Source organism: Homo sapiens, chromosome 3 (genome assembly GCF_000001405.40).
Source record: "Homo sapiens chromosome 3, GRCh38.p14 Primary Assembly".
Lineage (NCBI taxonomy): Eukaryota > Metazoa > Chordata > Mammalia > Primates > Hominidae > Homo > Homo sapiens.
Genome location: NC_000003.12, coordinates 39807895 through 39828475, shown reverse-complemented (window position 1 = coordinate 39828475; position 20581 = coordinate 39807895). Strand labels below are relative to the sequence as shown.

The 20581-nt window shown below is 39.3% G+C and overlaps 1 protein-coding gene across 6 annotated transcripts in view; it reads right to left on the bottom strand.

The window, feature by feature from the left end:
• Window positions 1-19562, bottom strand: part of MYRIP (myosin VIIA and Rab interacting protein) — a 451408-nt gene extending 431846 nt beyond the window's left edge. For 4 of the 6 annotated variants that reach the window (NR_104316.2, NM_015460.4, NM_001284424.2 and 1 more), the window contains exon 1: window positions 18560-18867. The gene's annotated coding sequence lies outside the window, so the exon portion shown is untranslated. Of the gene's footprint in view, window positions 1-17760; window positions 18532-18559; window positions 18868-19494 lie in introns of those variants that run through there. The other 2 variants (NM_001284423.2, XM_011533575.2) reach the window with 2 other exon arrangements.
• Between the last annotated feature and the right edge of the window lie 1019 nt (window positions 19563-20581).

Below are 20581 nucleotides of genomic sequence, written 5' to 3'. Positions count from 1 at the left end.
TATATATATAAATTGCCAGAAATAATTCAAAATCATAATCTTAAGAAAACTCAGTAATATACAAGACAATACAACAGACTAATAAATAGGGAGCCTCAACAACAGACAACACAGGACAAAAGAAATAATTTCTGAACTTAAAGATAAGTTTTTTAAAATAAGTCAGGCAGACAAAAAAATGAGAGAGAAAAGAATTTAAAAGGATGGAGAAGGCCTACAGAATTTATGGAACACCACTAAGCAAATAAATAGTCACATTATGGGCATTCCAGAAGGAGAAGAGAAGAAGAAACATGTAGAAAATATACTTAATAAAATAATAGCTGAAAACTCCATAAGTTCCTAGAAGACAGATAGACATCGACACCTAGAAGCTCAAAGGACCCCAAATAGATTCCACTCAAACAGGTCCTTTCCAAGGCGAGTTACAGTCAAACTGTCAAAAGTCTAAGACAACGAATTCTAAAAACAGCAGGAGAAAAGCATCAAGTCACATATAAGGGAATCCCATGAGACTAAGAGTAGACTTCTCAACAGAAATTTTACAGGACAGGAGAGAATGGAATGATATATCCAAAGTACTGAAAGAAAAAAAAACTGCCAATCAAGAATATTATATTCGGCAAAGCTATCCTTCAGAATTGAAGGATAAATAAAATCTTTCATAGACAAGCAAAAACAGGGAATTGATCACCACTAGACAAGATGCTCAAGGGCATCTTCCATGGGGAAGTGAAAAGACAGTAACTACCAGCATGTGAAATTCACCAAGTGTGAAATTATCATCACATTCACCAAATGTGAAATTACAAAACTCACTGGTAAAGGCAATGCACAAAGAAGAAAAAAAAGGAACCAATCCTCATTGCTATAGAAAATCAAGCAGCAACAAAAGTAATAACAGAGGAAGTAAAGAATAAAAGATATACAAAACAATCAAGAAAACAACCAATACACTGACAGGAGTAAGTTCTCACCTATTAATAATAATTTGAATGTAAACAGATTAAATTCCTCAATTAAAAGATACAGATTGGCTGAATGGATTAAAAAAATAAGACCTGGCTTGATGCGGTGGCTCACGCCTATAAACTGAGTATTTGGGGAGGCCAAGATGGGAGGATCGCTTGAGCCTAAGAGTTTGAGACCCGCCTAGTGAACACAGTAAGGCCCCATCTCTACAAAGAAATTTTTAAAAAGCTGGGCATGGTGGCACATGCGAACACTCTTAGCTAGTGAGGAGGTTGAGGTGGGAGGATCATTTGAGTTCAGGAGTTTGAGGCTGGAGTGAGCTATGGTCATGCCACCGCACTCCAGCCTGGGCAGCAAAGCAAGATCTTGTCTCTAAAAACAAACAAACAAAAAATTAAAAATTAAAATGCAAAACCCTACTATATGCTGTATACAAGAAACTCACCTTACCTGGAAAGACACCCATAGACTGAAAGTAAAGGGGTGAAAAAAGATATTCCCTTTTGGGAATGGAAACCAAAAGTGAGCAGGAGTAGCTATACTTCTATATATTGCCTGATATAATATCAGTAAAACAGACTTTAACCAAAAACAATAGAAAGAGACAAAGAACATTATATAATAATAAAGAGACCAATCAATTCAGCAAGATAATATAATTGTAAATATATATGCAACCAATACTGGAGCATCTAAATATATAAAGAAAATATTATTAGATCAAAAGGGAGAAATAAACCTCAATACAATAATCATTGAGGATGTCAGCTCCCCACTCTCAGCATTAGACAGATCATTTAGACAGAATATGAACAAAGAAACATTGGATTTAAACTGCACCCCAGACCAAATGGGTCTAATAAATATTTATTCACCCAACAGCTGCATGTTCTTTTCATCAGCGCATATAACATTCTCAAGGGCTGACCATATGTTAGGACACAAAACAAGTCTCAAAAAATTTTTTAAAACATCATATTAAATACATTATCTGACCACAATGGAATAAAACTGGAAATTAATAATAAGAATATTCAAAACTATACAAATATACAGAAATTAAACAACACGTTCCTGATCAATGGGTAAAAGAAGAAATTAAGCAGGAAATTTAAAAATTATTTTAAACAAATGAGAACAGAAACACAACGTATCAAAACCTATGACACAGCAAATGCAGTATAAAGACTCAAGTTCATAGCAATAAATGCCCACATCAAAAAAGTAGAAAGATTTCAAATAAATAACCTAACGATGTATCTCAAGAAAATAGAAGAGCAAAAACATACCAAATTCAAAATTAGTAGAAAGAAAAAATAATAAAGAGCAGAAATAAGCAAAATTGAGACTAAAAAAATACAATAGATAACAAAAAATTGTTTTTTTAAAAAAATATAAACAAAATTGACAAACTATTAGCTAGACTAAGAAAAAAAGAGAGAAGGCCTAAATAAATAAAATCAGAAACAAAAAAGATGTCACAATGGATATCACCAAAATGCAAAGGCTCATGAGAGACTATTATAAACAACTATATACCCATAAATTTAAAACCTTAGAAGAGATGGACAAATTCCTAAACACATATAACCTACCAAGATTGCATCAAGAAGAAATAGACAACCTGAACAGACCAATTAAAAAAGTAACAAGATTGAATCAGTAGTAAAAAGCCTCCCAAAAAAGAAAATCTCAGGATCAGATGATTTCACCACTAAATTCTACCAAACTGTTAAAGAATAGTTAACACCAACTATTCTCAAACTATTCAAAGGAATTGAAGCATAAGGAGTTCTTTCTAACTCATTTTGCCAGGCCAGCATAGCCCTGATAGCAAAACCAGATCAGAAAAATAACAATGAAAAATACAAGCCAATATCCCTAATAAATATAGATGTAAAAATCCTTAACAAACAAAAAACCCACAACATGTCAAAAAGATAATACACCATGATGAAGTGGGATTTATCTCAAGGATACAGCGATGGTTCAACACCTGCAAATCAATAAATGCAACACATCAACAGAATGAAGGGCAAAAACTATAATATATGATTATCTGAATAGATGCAATGAAAAAATTTAATGAAATCCAACATCCCTTCATGATAAAAACTCTCAATAAATTAGGTATAGAAGGAAAGTGCATCAACAAAATAAAGCCATATATGACTAGCCCACAGCTAACATCATACTGAATGGGAAAAAGCCAAAAGCTTTTTCTCCAAGAACTAGTGCAAGACGAGGATGTCCACTATCACCACTTTTATTCAACATAGTACTGGAAGTACTAGTAAGAGCAAATAGGCAAGAGAAAGAAAGAAAGGGCATCCAAATAGAAAAGAAAAAGTCAAGTTGTCTCTGCAGATGACATAATCTTATATAGCAAAAAATCAAAATACTCTACCAAAAAGCTCTTAGAACTGATAAACAAATTCAATAAAGTTGTAGTATACAACATCAACAAGCAAGAATCAATAGCACTGGCTGGGCACAGTGGCTCAATGCCTGTGATCCCAGCACTATGGAAATACAAGGTGGAAGGATCACTTGAGGCCAGGAGTTTGAGACTAGCCTGGGCCACATAGTTGGACCTTGTCTCTATATAAAATTTTAAAAAATTAGCCAGATGTGGTGGCATATGCCTATAGTCACAATTACTTGGGAGGCTGAGGCAAGAAGACCACTTAAGCCCAGGAGTTTAAGGCTGCAGTGAGCTATGATCATGCCACTGCACTCTATCCTGGGAAACAGAGTGAGAAACTGTCTGTTAAAAAGAAAAAGAAAAAAAAAAACGATCAGTCGGATTAGTAGGATTAATATGCACAAACAATCAACTATCTGAAAAAGAAATCCAGAAGGCAATCCCATTTACAATGGCTACAAAAAATAAAACAAAATACCTGGTTCCTAGAAATAAATATAACCAAGGAGGTGAAAAACCTCTACAAAATAAACTATATAAAACACTGATAAAAAGAAATTGAAGAGAATACAAATGGAAAAATATGCCATGTTCAAGGTTCAAAATAATGAATATAATTAAAATGGTCATACTATCCAAAGCAACCTACAGATTCAATGAAATAATCCCTATCAAAATACTAATGACATTCTTCACAAAAATAGAAAACAAAATCCAAAACTATGTATGGAACCACAAAAGACCCCAAACAGCCAAAGCAATCCAGAGCAAAGAGAACAATGCTGGAGACATCACACTACCAGACTTAAAAATATACTGCAAAGCTGTAATAACCAAAACAGCATAATATTGCCATAAAAACAAACACATAGACAAGTGGAATAGAATAAGGAACCCAGAAATTAATCCACATATCTACAACCAGATGATTTTTGACAAAGGCACCAAGAGCATTCACCGAGGAAAGGATAATCTCTTAAATTATGGTGCTGAGAAAACGATGTCCATATGCAGAGGAATGAAACTATACCTCCACTTCTCGCCTTAAACAAAAATCAATTCAAAATGGATTAAAGATCTAAATGTAAGAGACAAAACTACAAAATTACTAGATAAAAACATAGGGGAAATACTTTAGGACATTGATCTGGAAAAAGATTTTATGGATAAGACTTCAAAAGCATGGGAAACAAAAGCAAAAATAAGCAAAGGGATTATATCAAACTAAAAAGCTTCTCCAAAGCAAAGGAAACAATACATAATAAATAGAGTGATAAGACAACCTACAGAATGAGAAAAAAATATTTGCAAACTATTCATCTTACAGGAAATTAATATCCAGAATATAAAATGAAGTCAAACATCTCAACAGAAAAAAAAATCCCATTAAAAAGAAGGCAAATGCTCTAAGTAGACATTTCTCAAAAGAAGATATGTAAATGTTCCACAAATATATTTATAATGCTCAACATCACTAATTATCAGGAAAATGCAAATCAAAACCACTATGAGTCTTCATCTTACCCCAGTTAGGATGGCTATTATCAAAAAGACAAAAAATAACAAATGCTGGCAAGGATGTGGAGGAAAGAAAACACTTACATACTGTTGGTGGGAGTGTAAAATAGGACAGCCACTATGGAGAACAGTATGGAGGTTCCTCAAAAAGCTACAAGTAGAACTACTGTATCATCCAGCAATCTCACTACTGGGCTACTGGGCATTTATTCAAAAGAGAAGAAATCAGTGTATTGAAAAGACATCTGACCAGGCACGGTGGCTCACGCCTGTAATCCCAGCACTTTGGGAGGCCGAGGCGGGCAGATCACTTGAAGTCAGAAGACCAGTCTGGGGAACATGACAAAACCCCATCTCGACTAAGAATACAAAAATTTGCTGGGCGTGGTGGCAGGCACCTGTAATCCCAGCTACTGGGGAGGCTGAGGCAGGAGAAACACTTGAACCCAGGAGGCGGAGGTTGCAGTGAGCCAAGATTGCGCCACTGCACTCCAGCCTGGGTGATAGAGTCAGACTCTATCTCAAAAAAAAAAAAAAAAAAAGGAAGAAAAGAAAAGCAAAGCCATCTGCACTCCCATGTTTATTGCAGCACTATTCACAAGAGCCAAGTGTCCAACATCAGGTTAATGGGTAAAGAAAATGAGGTGTATATATACACCAGGAAATACTATTCAGCCATAAAAAAAAAAAAAGAATCAAATCCTGTCATTTGTGGAAACATGAATGGAACTGGAGGACATCACATTAGGTGAAATAAGCCAGGAACAGAAAGTTAACCACTGCATGTTCTCACTCCTTTGTGGAAGCTAAAACAAGATGACCTCATACAAATGAAAGTAGAACAGAGGATACTAGAGGCTGGGAAGGGTAGAGAAAGGGAGAGAATTGTTAAATGATACAAAATTACAGCTAGATGAGAGTAACAAATTCTAGTGTTCTACAGCATTACAGGATGACTATAGTCAATAATAATATGCTATAGAGCAGAGGTATCCAATCTTTTGGCTTCCTTGGGCCATATTGGAAGAAGAATTGTCTTGGGCCACACATAAAATACACTAACACTAATGAGAGCTGATGAGAAAAAAAAAATCGCAAAAAAAAATCTCATAATGTTTTAAGAAAGTTTACGAATTTGACGAATTTGTGTTGGGCCACATTCAAAGCCATTCTGGGCCACATGCAGCCCATGGGGCACAGACAAGCTTGTTATAGAGTTCCAAATAGCTAGAAGTATGACATTGAATGTATCTAACACAAAGAAATGATAAATGTTTGAAATGATGGACATGCAAATTACCCTGATCTGATCACTGTATACCGTATATATTGAAACATCACTACATACCATAAATATGTATAATTATTATATGTCAACTTAAAAATATAATATAGTATAGCTCTCTTAAACACAGACTTAAAAACAAGAGGTATTACTAGAGACTAAGAGGGTTTCTCATAATGGTATACACTTAAACTAAAAGGCACCTTCAAAATATACAAAACAAAAGGAAAGCACAAGATGAAATTAATAAATTGGCTTTCATATACTTCTCCTTCAATAACTGATTAACCAAACTGCAAAAAATCAGTTAAAAAATGGAATATTTGAATAACATAATTAACTAAGTTCAGCTAATAAACAGATATGAATCTCTGCAACCAATAACTTTCTTTTCAAGAAGTTATGGAACATTTGTGAACAATAACTATGTACCAGGCCACAAAACAAGCATCAACAAATTTCAAATAACTGGAATCATGTAGACCATATTCTCTGGTCACCATGAATTAAAATAGAAAAAAAAATATTAAAAAGTTCTAGGAAAAAACATATAAGTCATAAGTCAAAGAAGAAATTATAATGAAAAATTTAAAAATTCACATGTGAACAATAACAAAAACATTATATATCGAAACTTGTGAAATAAAAACACTGCTGAAGCAATACTTAGAGAAAAATTTATAGTCCTAAATGCATATATAGGAAAGAAGCTAAGCTGTAAGTTAATGAATTAATCATGTAAATTTAAGAGATTAGAGAAAAAAAACCCAAAGAAATAGGAAAGAAATAATAAAGATGAGAACAGAGATTAATAAATAGAAACAATGATAGGATAGAGAAGACAAAGTCAAAAGTTGGTTCTTTGGAAAGTCTGAAAAGAACCAGTAAAAACTCTGGTGAGATTGGCCAAAAGGCAAAGAAGGCACTAAGTCGGGGCGGGGTGGTACAGGGGTCGGGGGTGGGCAGTGGAGGACAGCAGGAAGTGTTTGCTGCCTCTGCAGGCTTCCTTATCCCACTATGTACAAGGGACTTGGGTGTTGCACTCCAGTAGGAAATCTCACCTTCAGGTGCTCTTGACTGAACATGCAGAGCACATCCTTCTGCCTCCTTCCAGGTACCTCCCATGCATCCCATGATCCCACTTTTTCTAGCAATGTTTCCACCTTTTGGGGAAGCAATTTTAACTATCTTTCAGATTTGTGAAAAATGTTTGGTCTTTTGTTTTTCATTCTCTTTGCTGCTTTCAGATCATTTATAAAAGAGAAGGGGAAAATGTCAGCATTGCATCCCCATCCACCATCAGCAGCAGCCTGAGGGAAAAGCAACCCAAGCAGAAAGTGGATGGTGGCAGGGGGAGTGGGAAGAACATGCATCAGGTACTTGGAACCTGCAAAAGGAAGGATTCAGACCTGGGAGCATGAAGGAGCCTTTAGGGGATCTCAGCAACATTCCAGTGCCAGACTGCAAGATCTGCAGTTCTAGGAGAGGCACCTGACATCCTCTGGACCACAGAGCTGAAAAATTGATTGGTGGGTTTCTGAAAGACTTTGAACAAGGATTAAAACAATGAAAACAACATTTCTGATTTTTCTTATAATTAGCTGTAAAAGAAAGATACTCATCTCAAACATAATACTATTTACGTATCATTCTAGTAAATCAAAATCTCTAATGATTAATAAATTGCTTTTCAGAAGAAGCAAAGCAACAAAACTGTATTCATGTAAGACAAACACAAAAGCAGCACCTGCCATATTTTCTGAGGCTGGAGCTACATAGGGAAAATGAAATGATGCTGGAGACAGAGGTTTTCAAGGGGAAGTCAGAAAGGTTTTAGGAACTGGAAGCACTGCTTACACATACTGGGATCTCTTCAGGAAACAAACAAACAAAACCATCATGTAAAGAGGCTTGGGTATTTTTCTTTTCCCCAAAGATTTCACCAGAATCCTGTCATCTGGGCTTGACAGACTAGAAAATGACCCAACACACTTTGAGATAGTTACATTTCACACCAAAAAGAGGGAACCATATCACAGGACACTGTTATCTGAGCCACCAGGATTCAGTGTCAGAAGATTATTTGAGGCTTTTGGCAAATAGCCACATTAGATCCCGAGGTCATGGGCACCTGTTTTCCAGGCACTCATCCTTCCTGGGGCACACACGTTTTGCATTTTCTTCCCCAGTGTCAGCTCAGTAAGATTAAACTGTCAGCCCACAGCATGGATTTGTGTATCCCGGCTGCAGATCACACATCTGTCTCATCAGTGGTATCACATTGTAAATCACAGCCACAAAATGGAATTCCTTACAGTGTTTTTTCTTGCCCCAGATGATGTTATATAAATATACACAGAAAATTTAACTCATAATTATCTAGGGAAGATAATGATTGAATAAAAAACCAAAAACAGTTTTCTGAAAGCTTTTAGGCACACAGTTTCATAAAGTTCTTTTTACTTTCCCTGCAGAAATGCAGAATTCATCCTCAGGGTAAGTTGGAAGTGGGAGAGGTTTCTTTCAGTAAATCATCCAGCCCATCCCCCAACCATGTCCACCTCACTGCCATTTCCTCACTAACCCTCTGGTGGTGTCACGCTGTTCTGGTCTGCCTCTCACTAGCAATTGATCACATATATTCATTCACATTAGGGTGTTAATATCACAGTGTTACTTTGCAGTTACCCCAACGAAAGTCTTCTAAATTTTAACAGAATAGAAGACAAAAAGGAATAATTGTCCAATGGTAGAATCTACACCCTAGGATGGGTGAGACAGGGGCAGAGCTGGACAGATGTGCTTTCCTGGTTCTCCCGAACAGGTGTTTACTTCCTCTTGTAGTCTGTCCTCATTAAAGGCACTACTAAATAGCTGACCATTTAAACTCTTACCAGTTTTCCCCAGCTAGGTAATTTTTTTTTTTTAAGATGGAGTTTTGCTCTTGTTGCCCAGGCTGGAGTGCAATGGCTCAATCTCGGCTCACTGCAACCTCTGCTTCCTGAGTTCAAGCAATTCTCCTGCCTCAGGCTCCTAAGTAGCTGGGACTACAGGCATGCACCACCATGCTCAGCTAATTTTTTGTATTTAGTAGAAACGAGGTTTCACCATGTTGGTCAGGCTGGTCTCAAACTCCTGACCTCAGGTGATCCACACACCTCGGCCTCCCAAAGTGTTGGAATTACAGGCATCAGCCACCGCGCCCCACTGGTAAATATTTATATGAGGTTTATGATATATTTATGTACAATCACTTATATGATGCAATATTCAAAATGAAAAGGTCAAAAACCTCTGAGCTTTCTAATTGAACTTTAGGGTATTTATATATACACAAAAATATATACCTATGTATTTTCTCCTTTAACATCTTTGTTCTTCCTTCTGTAGTATTATCTCCTTAATGTGACAGATACAATCCATCTACATTGCTATAGAAATTTAAATTAGTATTGTCACTTTGGGGAGTAATTTGGCATCAAATGGTCAAATTCAAAGTTTACATAAAATAAGACCCTGCAATTTCACTTCTAGGCATATATCTTCAAGAGTTTCTTGTACATGTGCATAAATAAATTTCAAGGATGTTTACTGAATGCATCTATGTAATACCCCCCCAAAATTAAAGAAACAATCAAAAGTCTATCATAGAAAAACTTATTAATAAAATATGTTATTTCATATGATGGAAAGGTATTTAGTAGTTAAAAATATGAACATGATCTGGGTAAAACAACTTAACTATTCTTTCAAAAACACCAAATAATAAATGCAAGTTACAGAATGCACAGGAAATAAAAAACAACCTCCATGGATAACTCTATAGTGAAGTTGGCCATGAAGAGCCAATAAATATGCAGATACATTCTGCCTCACCAGTTGAGAAAGGTGAAATAAAAAGCAAGGTTCTGGGTTTCTTCTTTTTGCCCAAGAAACTAGCACTGTTATTGAATAATCATACTTATCAAAGGCAAGGCATGGGAATTTGGCATACTCATATACTACCGATGGCAAGATAAATTTATAAACTTTTCTGGAGGGTTATTTGAAAATATATATCAAAAGCTTAAAGTAAACTAACTTTGACAAAGTACTTCATCTCAAGAAAATAAAAAATGTCTACAAAGTTGAAGTTAATAAAAGTCTAAAGTGCCTAATGTCTTAAAAGAATGGTTTCATTGAACAAATTACAGTACATAGATTAAACAGATTATTTGAAGGATGAAAGTAATGACAGAAGAATAAATACTGGCATTAAAGTTGCTGATGTGTTGTTAAGTTTTTTAAAGTATCATTTTATTTTTAAAAAATAATATTCATATGGTCCATATTATTCAAGGATACTTGTTACCAGAGAAAAGTCAGTTAAAGTGAATCCACTTAAAATATCACAGTAAATAATGGGAAATAAAAAGTTTTGATTAGTATTACATTTTAAGGGAAAAAAACAAGAGGATACATTTTATTTAATCTTTTAGCAAATTTTGATATACAACTTTACACTAGTTCTTAGAACCACACTATACAATACATGCGGCTACTGAGCACTTGAAATGTGACTAGTCCAGTTGAAATGTGTTGTGGGTATAAAATACATTCTAGATTCCAAAGGCTTAGTATAGAAAAAGGAATGTCACACATTCCATTGATAATTTTATATTGATTTTATCTTGAAATATATACAAAAGTATATTTGATATACTGAATTAAATATATTATTAAAATTAGTTCCACCATTTTAAAAAATGTTTTTAATGTGCCCATGAGAAGATTTTAAATTACATGTATTCCTAGCATATTTCTTCTGGAAAATGCTACCTTAAAATAAATCATGTTTTCATATTTGGGGAATAAATTCCCCAGCAAACTTAAGAGCACAAAACATCCTTCAATGAGCATTTGACGTTTCTGACAAGCTCAGAAACAGTATCACTTTTGAGCAAAATTATTTGAGGATGGGCATCAAAAGGACCTCTCCTTATTTTGTCATTCAACTCATTCTCTTCTGGAGCATGCAGATACTGTCTCTTTTTCGATCCTTACCAGGTTTAGGGCTGTCAGCAATCAATGTGTTCAACAATCAGCAAGTGTTTTCTGCAGATTGTCAACCTAGTTTCATCAGTTTCACGAAGTTCTCCATCTTTTGCAAGATTTGCAATTCTATTCTACAATGAATTTGCACTATCATGTCCAGTAAAATCCTATATAACTGAGGAGCAACTGGCCCATAAAGGAAATGATGCTTAGTAGGCAGACACTCGTTAGTGCTATCTTAAGACATCACAATGGGGACCTACATATAAGTGGGCAATTCATTAATGAATGTTTTCATGTGATGATGTGAAGGCTGTTATCATTACAGAGGCTTAATAACTAGTGAGATTCAGAAAATGAATATTTTATAAGGTTTGGATTTATGTATACAATATCAAATGACCTCTGGAAAAAAATATATAAAAATTTCAAAAGCAACTAAGTGGTGGGAATATAGGTGATTTTTACTTTCTTCTGTTTGCCTATATTTCTATAATTATTATGTTTTATATTAACACACTTAGTTTAATTTAATTTCAATTGCCAAGTCAAATACCACATTCTCCATTAGCCACTCCATTTGGGCCGGCCTCCCCCTAGTGAAGCCTCCTCCTCAGGACTCCAAATCAACGCTCTTTGATAATTTATTACTAACTACATTGTATAATTATGATAATAACTAAGACTTAAGTGCCAGGCACTGTTCAGAGTGCTTCATATTTATTAGCCTTTGTAAACTCTTCAGTCAGTCTGATCTTTCTTCAAGACACTGATCCTCAAGTAAGAGAAGAAAGAAAAATACCTACAAGGGGAGTTTACTCTCAGGATAGGTTGTCAGTATGATTTGAAAAGGCAAATTCAGGCTGGTGCGGTGGCTCACGCCTGTAATCCCAGCACTTTGGGAGGCCGAGGCGGGTGGATCATGAGGTCAGGAGATCGAGACCATCCTGGCTAAAATGGTGAAACCCCGTCTCTACTAAAAATACAAAAAATTTAGCTGGGCGTGGTGGCCGGCGCCTGTAGTCCCAGCTACTCAGGAGGCTGAGGCAGGAGAATGGTGTGAACCCAGGAGGCGGAGCTTGCAGTGAGCCGAGATTGCACCACTGCACTCCAGCCTGGGTGACTGAGCAAGACTCTGTCTCAAAACAAAACAAAAAAAAAAAGAAAAAAAGAAAAGGCAAATTCAATATTAAAATATAATTTTACATTTGGAAATATAACGTTTTCATAATACAAACTTTGGAAGGAAAACAAAATGAATTGATATTATAGCTAATAATTCAACTTTGTTAAAGAGGATATAAAAAAGAATATGATAAAAATTTAACATAAGCATAATTGAAAAAAAAAAAAACGCTATTAGAATACCAAAAGTATACAATTTCTTAACACGTTAAAGCAAATCTGCCACAAACCTAAAGTAACCACCATACTCTTGGTGAATATTTAAAACATTATCAAAGTCATACCAGACTGGGAGGTCCACTATCACCACTATTCCTCTACATTATGCCAGAGGCCCTAGGCAGTGTAATATTCCAAGGAAAAAATATATAAACAGTTTTAAAACAGAAGAAACAAAACCACCATTACTTGTAGTACCTATGGCTTTCTACAGAATATCCAGAGAATCTACAAACCAACAAAGATGCCAAATAGAAAATTAGAATACAAAAAAACAGCCCCCTTACTATATACTGGCAATAACCAATTTTAAAAATGTAGCTAGAGGAGAGATGATCCCATTCACAAGAGCAATAAAACTTCTAAGGACTAATGAAGGGATACTAAGATGTGATATGTATGTGTATATATATATACATACATACACACACACACACATATATATGATGAAATACACCAATAAAAAGGAATGAAGCAATGATACATTCAACAACTTAGATAACCTTGAAAACATTACACTAAGTGAAAGAAGCCAGACACAAAATGCCACATACTGTATTATTGTATGATTCCATTTATATGAAATATCCAGAATGGGCAAATGTATAGACTTAGTAGATTGGTAAGGTTGCCTAGGGCTGGGTGTGTGGCAGGGTGCGTGGAGGGATAAGAACTGAGAAATGACTGCTAATGGGTACAGGGTTTATTTTGCAGGGTTCAAAAATATTCTAAAATTAGATTGTGTTGATGGCTGCATACCCTGCAAATTTACTAAAAACACTAAATTGTAAACTTTCAATGAGTGAATTGTATAGTATGTGACTTATACCTCAACTGAAAAATGATAATGAAAACCTATAAGGTGCCTAATACAAGTTTCAGAACTTTATGGAGAATATTATAAAGCCTTGTAGAATGACCTACAAAATAATGTATAGAGATAGGCCATGTCCATGAAAGGAACATATCAATAGTGAAAAGGTAAAAGTCTCCTCTAATTAACCTTTAGATTCAATGTAAATTATAACAGGAATTTTCATAGGAAGGGATAGATCCTAAAATTCATGTTGAAGCCTAAAGCATCAAGAATAGCCAAGACAGTTTTAAGGAAAAAGGGTAAGAAGAGAAGATTTATTATAAAGCTTTAATAATTAAATGAAATGGTATTAGCTCAGGAATCACAAAAACATGAGTAGAACAGAGAGTCAAGAGACAGATCCAAGGATATAACGGAAATTAGCATATGTCAGAGATGGCAACAAAATAAGTGAGAAAATAGTAAACTATTCATTAAATGATACTGTGGTAAATGGTTTTCAATATGGAAAACAATTATACTCCTGCCTCAACAACACAGGTATACAAATTTCAGAGGAGTTCAAAGACCCAACTATGAAAAACAAAATTTTGCCAGTAAAAAAACCAATGGAAATACACAAAAAATTGAAAAACTATATTAAAACTATATATTAAAAAGATAATCTCTAAGGGAAATGCAAAGTAAAAGAGCAGTAAAATACATTCCAAGCTTCTCAGATTAGCCAAAATCAAAACATCTGATTAATACCAGTCACAGCCAAAGATATGGGAATACAAGGAACTCCAACACAATGCAGTAGGAGGGCAACCTGCCAAACCTAGGAGAGCTAAAATAACAGATGAATGTTGATTTAAGCATACATATCCTACTACTCAGTTGTTCCCCTTCTGAGGATATATGCCCAAGACACACTCTTGTACATTTCTACAAGATCTTGTCAAGGATATTCCTTGTAATATATTTAATAATACCAAGAGGTAGAAAAATCTTTTATCTATCAATATATAAACTGTGGCATATCAAAGGAATGCTAAGCTAAAATGAGTCAACTAGATTTACAATGATCAATATATGTTATCAACACATGTAAAAAAAGTTAGGTGAAAAAAATCACAAAAATAGATAAGACAGGTGTCCATAACATGTTGTTTTAAACACATAATAAAACTACACACTCTAGTAGGCACGCTGAGTCCCAGCATTGCAGGTTGAATGGACTTGACCCCAAGTTCTCATCTTTCACTGTCCTTCTTGCTTATGACAGAATTTTCTATTTTCAGCAATTCCATACTTACACTTAAGTGGCTACATGTAAAGTGCTAGAGTAGGTGCCAGTGAAGACAAAAGAATTATATATAAGACTCCCCTCCACCTCCGGCCACTGCAGAAGAGTACAACTCAGCTAGGGATGTTGTCTCAGGCACTTGGCTCTTAACCTTCACTCCGGCTTGCATAGTGTGTAAACTTAGAGTGTGTAACTTTCAAGGTGCAGTTCTTTTATCTTAAAATTGGAAAGCCATCCTCCTCCTATTGTGAAGAATAAATATAATTATCGTGCCCAACACATGACAAACACTCAACACTCTTGGTGATTATGGGCATGGAAGCCACCAAATGAATACAATCTTCTAAACAGCATCTCAGTCGTGCTGACAATAAAAACAAAAGGTGATGGATGGGAGAAGGGCACCAGCTGGGTCCACTTAGCCTTCTCCATATCTGGATACAACATCCCCACATCTCCCGGGTCACTTGGGCATGCTCTGTGGGATTTTGGGACATGTCTTCCAGCAACAGTAGCGTGGCTACAGCCAGGGCTATGTATTCTTCCAGGTTCAGCATCGACAGGGCTCTGTGAAAAGAGATACCAGCCTTCGGAATGAGAACTCATTCCTTCAAACCTCTGAAGAGATTCTGGGGTAGGATGAGGCGACCAAAGCTTGCTTCTCAGTTAACCCTCTTTAAAATCACAAGGACACACCACCTTAACTCCATCTTGCTGAGGGAAAGGCAACAGTGTCCCACCTCCAGCTCCCTCCAACAAGCACCTGCCCCCATCCCACGGCCATCTTCATAAAGAGCTGGGATAGAGTTCTACCCATGGATTTAGTAGCAGGGACCATACAAGGGATCTACTTGCTAGATATGGAAAATAGTAGTTGGAAATCATGTTCGGAGATACTGAGTTGTTGGATTGTTGGATTTTATTCCTGGGATTCCTTTCTGAGAGCTTGGGAAAAGATGGTAGGTATTTCAGTTCTCCAGCCAACCTGGCGCCACCATGTGGCAACAACACCAACAGTTCATAAATCAGTCAGCTTTCAAATTCTGATTCTCTGTCAACTTTTTATCTTTGAGGAATTCAAAATACTTCCTTTTTATATATCAAATGAGAATCTATTCATTTTTTCTTCATTCATATTTTAATATCACATAATTTCATGTTTGCATTACTTTAATTCACCCTATGAAAAAGCTCTTATGGGAACAAACCAGCCGCCATTGACCAATGTCAGCACTGTTACATCTGGGATCAGGTTTGTTACACCACCAAATAACTAATGATCAAGGTGTGGTGGGACAACCAAGTCATTCTTCACCCAGATTGTAAGGCTAAATTATTCCTTCTATTTTTCTGTACTGGCTTAAGTATAACTACTCTTGGATTGCATTTATTAAAAAGGAGGTAGAAAATCATCAAGAAGTCTCATTTTAGCTTGGGAACTAAAATGATAAAATAAATAACAATAGTAATAAAAATAAAACTAACCTGATAAAACTAAGCAGGATGATGGCTACCCTTGGAGGATAGTGCCTGTAGGTAGGGGTAATGGGAAGATTGGAAATATTCTGGGTCTTAATCAGGGCACTGGTTACACAGGTGTGCTCAGTTGTGACAATCCACTGAGTGTATCCTTCAGAACTGCATTATTTTCTGGAATTATACTTCAACAGACTGTTAAATTCACCAAGGTCTGATCAGTCATCTCCCTTTAACTTGGCTTTCCGGCAAGAGTCTGTGCATACACAATAATAATTCGAAGGCAAAATCAGGGGGAAGCCTTGTTTTCTACGGGATATTTTTCAGCCATCGGGAATCCCTCTGGGCAGGGAGGAAGGAGATAGAACATAATCTATGCTACCGCTAGTTTAAATGACTGAGCTGAGTATGGCTAACACTTCACTTTCTCAAAAGTGAACAAATTCTGCAGCCGGATAACTCTCCCTTCTACCACCATACACGCAGACAAACGAAACCCAGACCACACAGAACACTGCGCCACCAAGAGATACACACCATCTCTACAGAGACACACTTTGACTCCTCAGAGACAACACACACACACACAGCCTCCCCCCACTCTCCAGAAACAGTCCCACAGACACAGCTTCTGGCCCACAGAGACAGCTCGCAGATGGAGGTAGTGGTGGGTAATTAGGAGAGACGCAGCTGCCCATGGCCAGGCAAAGGAACGTGAGCAGGAAGATGGAAAGCAGTATCTTCAAAGTCTTGGGAAACTAAATTTCTCTAAAAAGATTTTGAAATCTGCAAATAGGGTCCCAGATATTGCTGTAAAATTTTTTAAATTACCTCCATTTCCACCGTAGACCCAGATGCCTTGAACCATCTTCCTTCGACTTTTTAATAAAACCCCAGTGCATTTTCACATTTATCATATCCTATGAACTCCAAGTTCCTTGGGAAGATTGAAAGGCGGCGGGGATTATTTCATTTTATAAATGAAAAAGTTCAGGTTCAAAGATGCTGGTCAGTCATCACAAAACTAAGTATTGATCTCATGGCTGAGTTTCAGAGTTGGGGTGGGGGAGGCTGAGTTGAAGGGACAAGGTGATAATGGCAAGAGAGGCTAGGTGACGCTCTCCCCAGCCCAGAGCTCTGAGAAGCGCCCACAACACCACAGGCGGCCCCACTGGAGCCACCTCAAAGGACCTGGAGTAAAAGAATCACACCCGACATCATTTGCATACCCCAAGACTGGCCAGCCCCCAGTCTCAGTCTTCCTCCCCTGAGTAAGTGTCAAGAAAATCAACAAATCGAGATCATGGTCGGGGAGATGGAGAGCATGGAAATGAAGCCAGACTCAAGGCATTTTCTAGGAGCGGATAGGAGCCAACGTTAGCGAACCAAGCCCACAGCGTACTCGCTTCTCTTAGGAAGTCCCTAGGCCCAAACCAGTGTGTGCATTTAAGAGTTTTGGGATACGTACTTATCCTTGGGGACGGTGCTTATTTGGCAAAAGAAAAGAGGAGCAGGACGGATATAAGAACAAATTCCCCTACCCTGCCAAGACGTCAGTAAATTAAGGAACAAGAAGGGGAGCAAGTGCTCCAAAAAGCCGCAGGTCTTGGGGTTCCCACCACTGAATCTTTCCGCTCCACGCGTCCATCAGGAAGATCCTCCGCCGTTACCTCCAAATCTATGTAGAGCCCCCTGGGATTGGCTCCCTACCTCTTCAAGTCTGGCGGCTGTGGCGGAAAGGGAGTATGAGGAGGAACCCGGGATGAAGCTGAAGTGACCGCCCCGCCAACAGCTCTCCCCTCCCCAGGCAGCCCGCGGGCGAGGGCCAGACGCAATCCACCTGTGTTCTAACTCTGAGCACCAGCTGTGACCTTGAGAGAGTCCCTGATTACCCCCGTTTTACAGAATTAAGAGTTTGAGTCAGGTCCGTCGCGCTGGGCTGCTTGCGGGGCGCTTAACGGATGGTTTGAGGCGTCCCGCCGGTGCGCCCGCAGCACAGTAGGTACGCGGTGAACCGCAGCCCAAGCACTACGTGGCCATCCGGGATCGGAAAACGCGAGGGAAACGCAGAGGCGAGCTCCCACCCCAGCAGCGAGAGAAAGAGGCGATTCTGGCTCCGCGATGATCCCTGAGCAAGTTCAAGTACCCGCGCCCCTCGCCCCTCCGCAGAGGCTGACTGGCCGCGCCTAGGGTTCCTGGCTCCGGACGCGCACAGGGTGCGGGGGAGCGTGAGAGACACCTCCACACCTTCACACACCCACCCCCGAAGTTGCGGCAACGTTGAGGGGAGAGTGGCGCAAAGCTGCCAGAGGGGAGAAGAGGGAGGCGGACGGTACTCACGGGGGGTGGCCAGCCTGAAGCAAGTCCGCGACCGGGGTCATCGATGGCGGCCGGGCTCAGGCCACCGCGCCTCAGTACGCCCAGGGCACCTGCCGCAACGCGCCGCGTGGATTAGAGGCTGCCGGCGGCGAAGAAGGGGCGCGGGTCGGTCTGCGCGCTAAAGCTGGGCTGCAGCACCGCGGGGGCTCGGCTGCCAGAACCGCAGCCGCAGCGGGAACCCGGGAACCGACAGGAGGCGGGAGCGCAGCGGCGTCGGCAGCAGCGGCTGCGAGGGAGGCGCCCGCGCCGCAGGCAGCCAGGGCCAGCCTGGCCGCAGCCACCGCCGACACCTGCTGGCCCGGCCGAGAGCCAATCAGAGGCGCCCGGAGCGGGGGAGCCTGCGGAGGCGGGGCGGGGGCGCGTGCAGGGCGCCCGGCGGGAGGGGCGGCCCGCGATCGCGCCTGCGCCGGGGCAGGGGGTGCCCGCCGGGCCGGTTCCTCCAGAGCACCTCGGGCGCGCGGGCGGCACGCGCCGGGAGGGGCGGGGCGCACCGGGAGGAGGCGGGGCAGGGCTGCGCGCGCCCGGGGCGGGGACCCGCGCCCCTCCCGGGGCTCTTCCCTGCGGCGCAGTGCAGTATTGGGGCCGCGGTTCGGGAGCCCCCATGTGCGACTCCAGGTCCTTCCCCGATTCTAAGTCAGGCTTTTCCTGTCTCCTGCCTCTGAGTCCTGGGGGCCCGGACCCTCAGTGACCGTAGAGTAATGGGTCACCAGAATCCGGGGCCTGCCTGAATCTAAGACATGGTGTGGCGCTCCTCCACAGACAGCTCTTCCCCACTTCACAGTCCCTGGGTAATTAAAGTCTCCGTAGTGACCCCTATCTGGATTGCTTTAATTCTCCCATAAATTTACTACTACGCTAACGACGCTCATTCATTCAACACACATCAAAGGGGTTACCGATCAGGGAGCTGTCCAGGCTAATGCGCCCCCAAGTCTCCCAAACACAGCTGCGGAACCGCCGGGTTAGTGAGCCCGCGCTGTCAGAAAGACTCCCAAAGACTGCTGCAAGTGAGGAACGCTTTCGGGCTCGTGCCAGGAGTTCCCGGTCCTGGAAGAATGACTGGGAGTTGAAAGGTTCCACTCCAGGCCGGGACTTCATTGTGCGTTTGCATCCATTAAGCCAGGGATCTTCCTGAGACCCACTGCCTCAGCCCCAACAACTCGGCTGTGAAAACACTTTGTCAATTTTAGCTGCAGGGTGGAAGTCGCTCCATGAAAATAAAGCATTTATGGAGTTACACTGGCGATTTCTGAATCCCTGGAAATCCTCTCAAGCCGGTGGGTTGAGGCTGTTCTCTCCGTGTAAATGTGCGCAGTAGAAATAAATGGCTTGTTTGCTGATCAGTCCACAGCAGAAAACAAAACAAAACAAGACAAAACCTTAAAGAAAGGAACTCGGAAGGTAAAGGAGTTAATTTCTTTAAAGATTCGATTCCCTCCTTTAAAGGGATTTTAATGTCTACAAACTGGTAAAGTGGAAGGAAGTTAGTTTGTTTCTCTTTTGTTTACATTAAATTTAAATTTTATTTAGCTGTGCTTGATTAGCATTCATGTGGCACAAAATTCTAAAACTACAAATGGAACACAGTTAACAAGACTCCCTCCCACCCTTGTCTCTCAATTCCTCTTCCTGGGGGCAACCAGTGTGTACCTCCCTCAAGGAAATTGACATATACACAAACATATTTGTCTAATGCTCTTATTTTTATTTTTGTTGTACAAACTATGCACATTGTTTTACATTTTGATCTTTTCCCTTAACAAGATATTATCGTGGAGTCATTCCATATCATTACCAAAAACTTTTTCTTGTTATTTTACAGCTGTATGATATTCCATTGAATAAGATATGCCAAAATTTATGTAAGGGCCCCCAATTATGGGCATTTAAATGGTCTCCAATCTATCACTGTTAATAACAATTATGCATGAATAACTTTGTTCCTATGTAACTGTGTACGTGTGGGGGTACATATGAAGAATA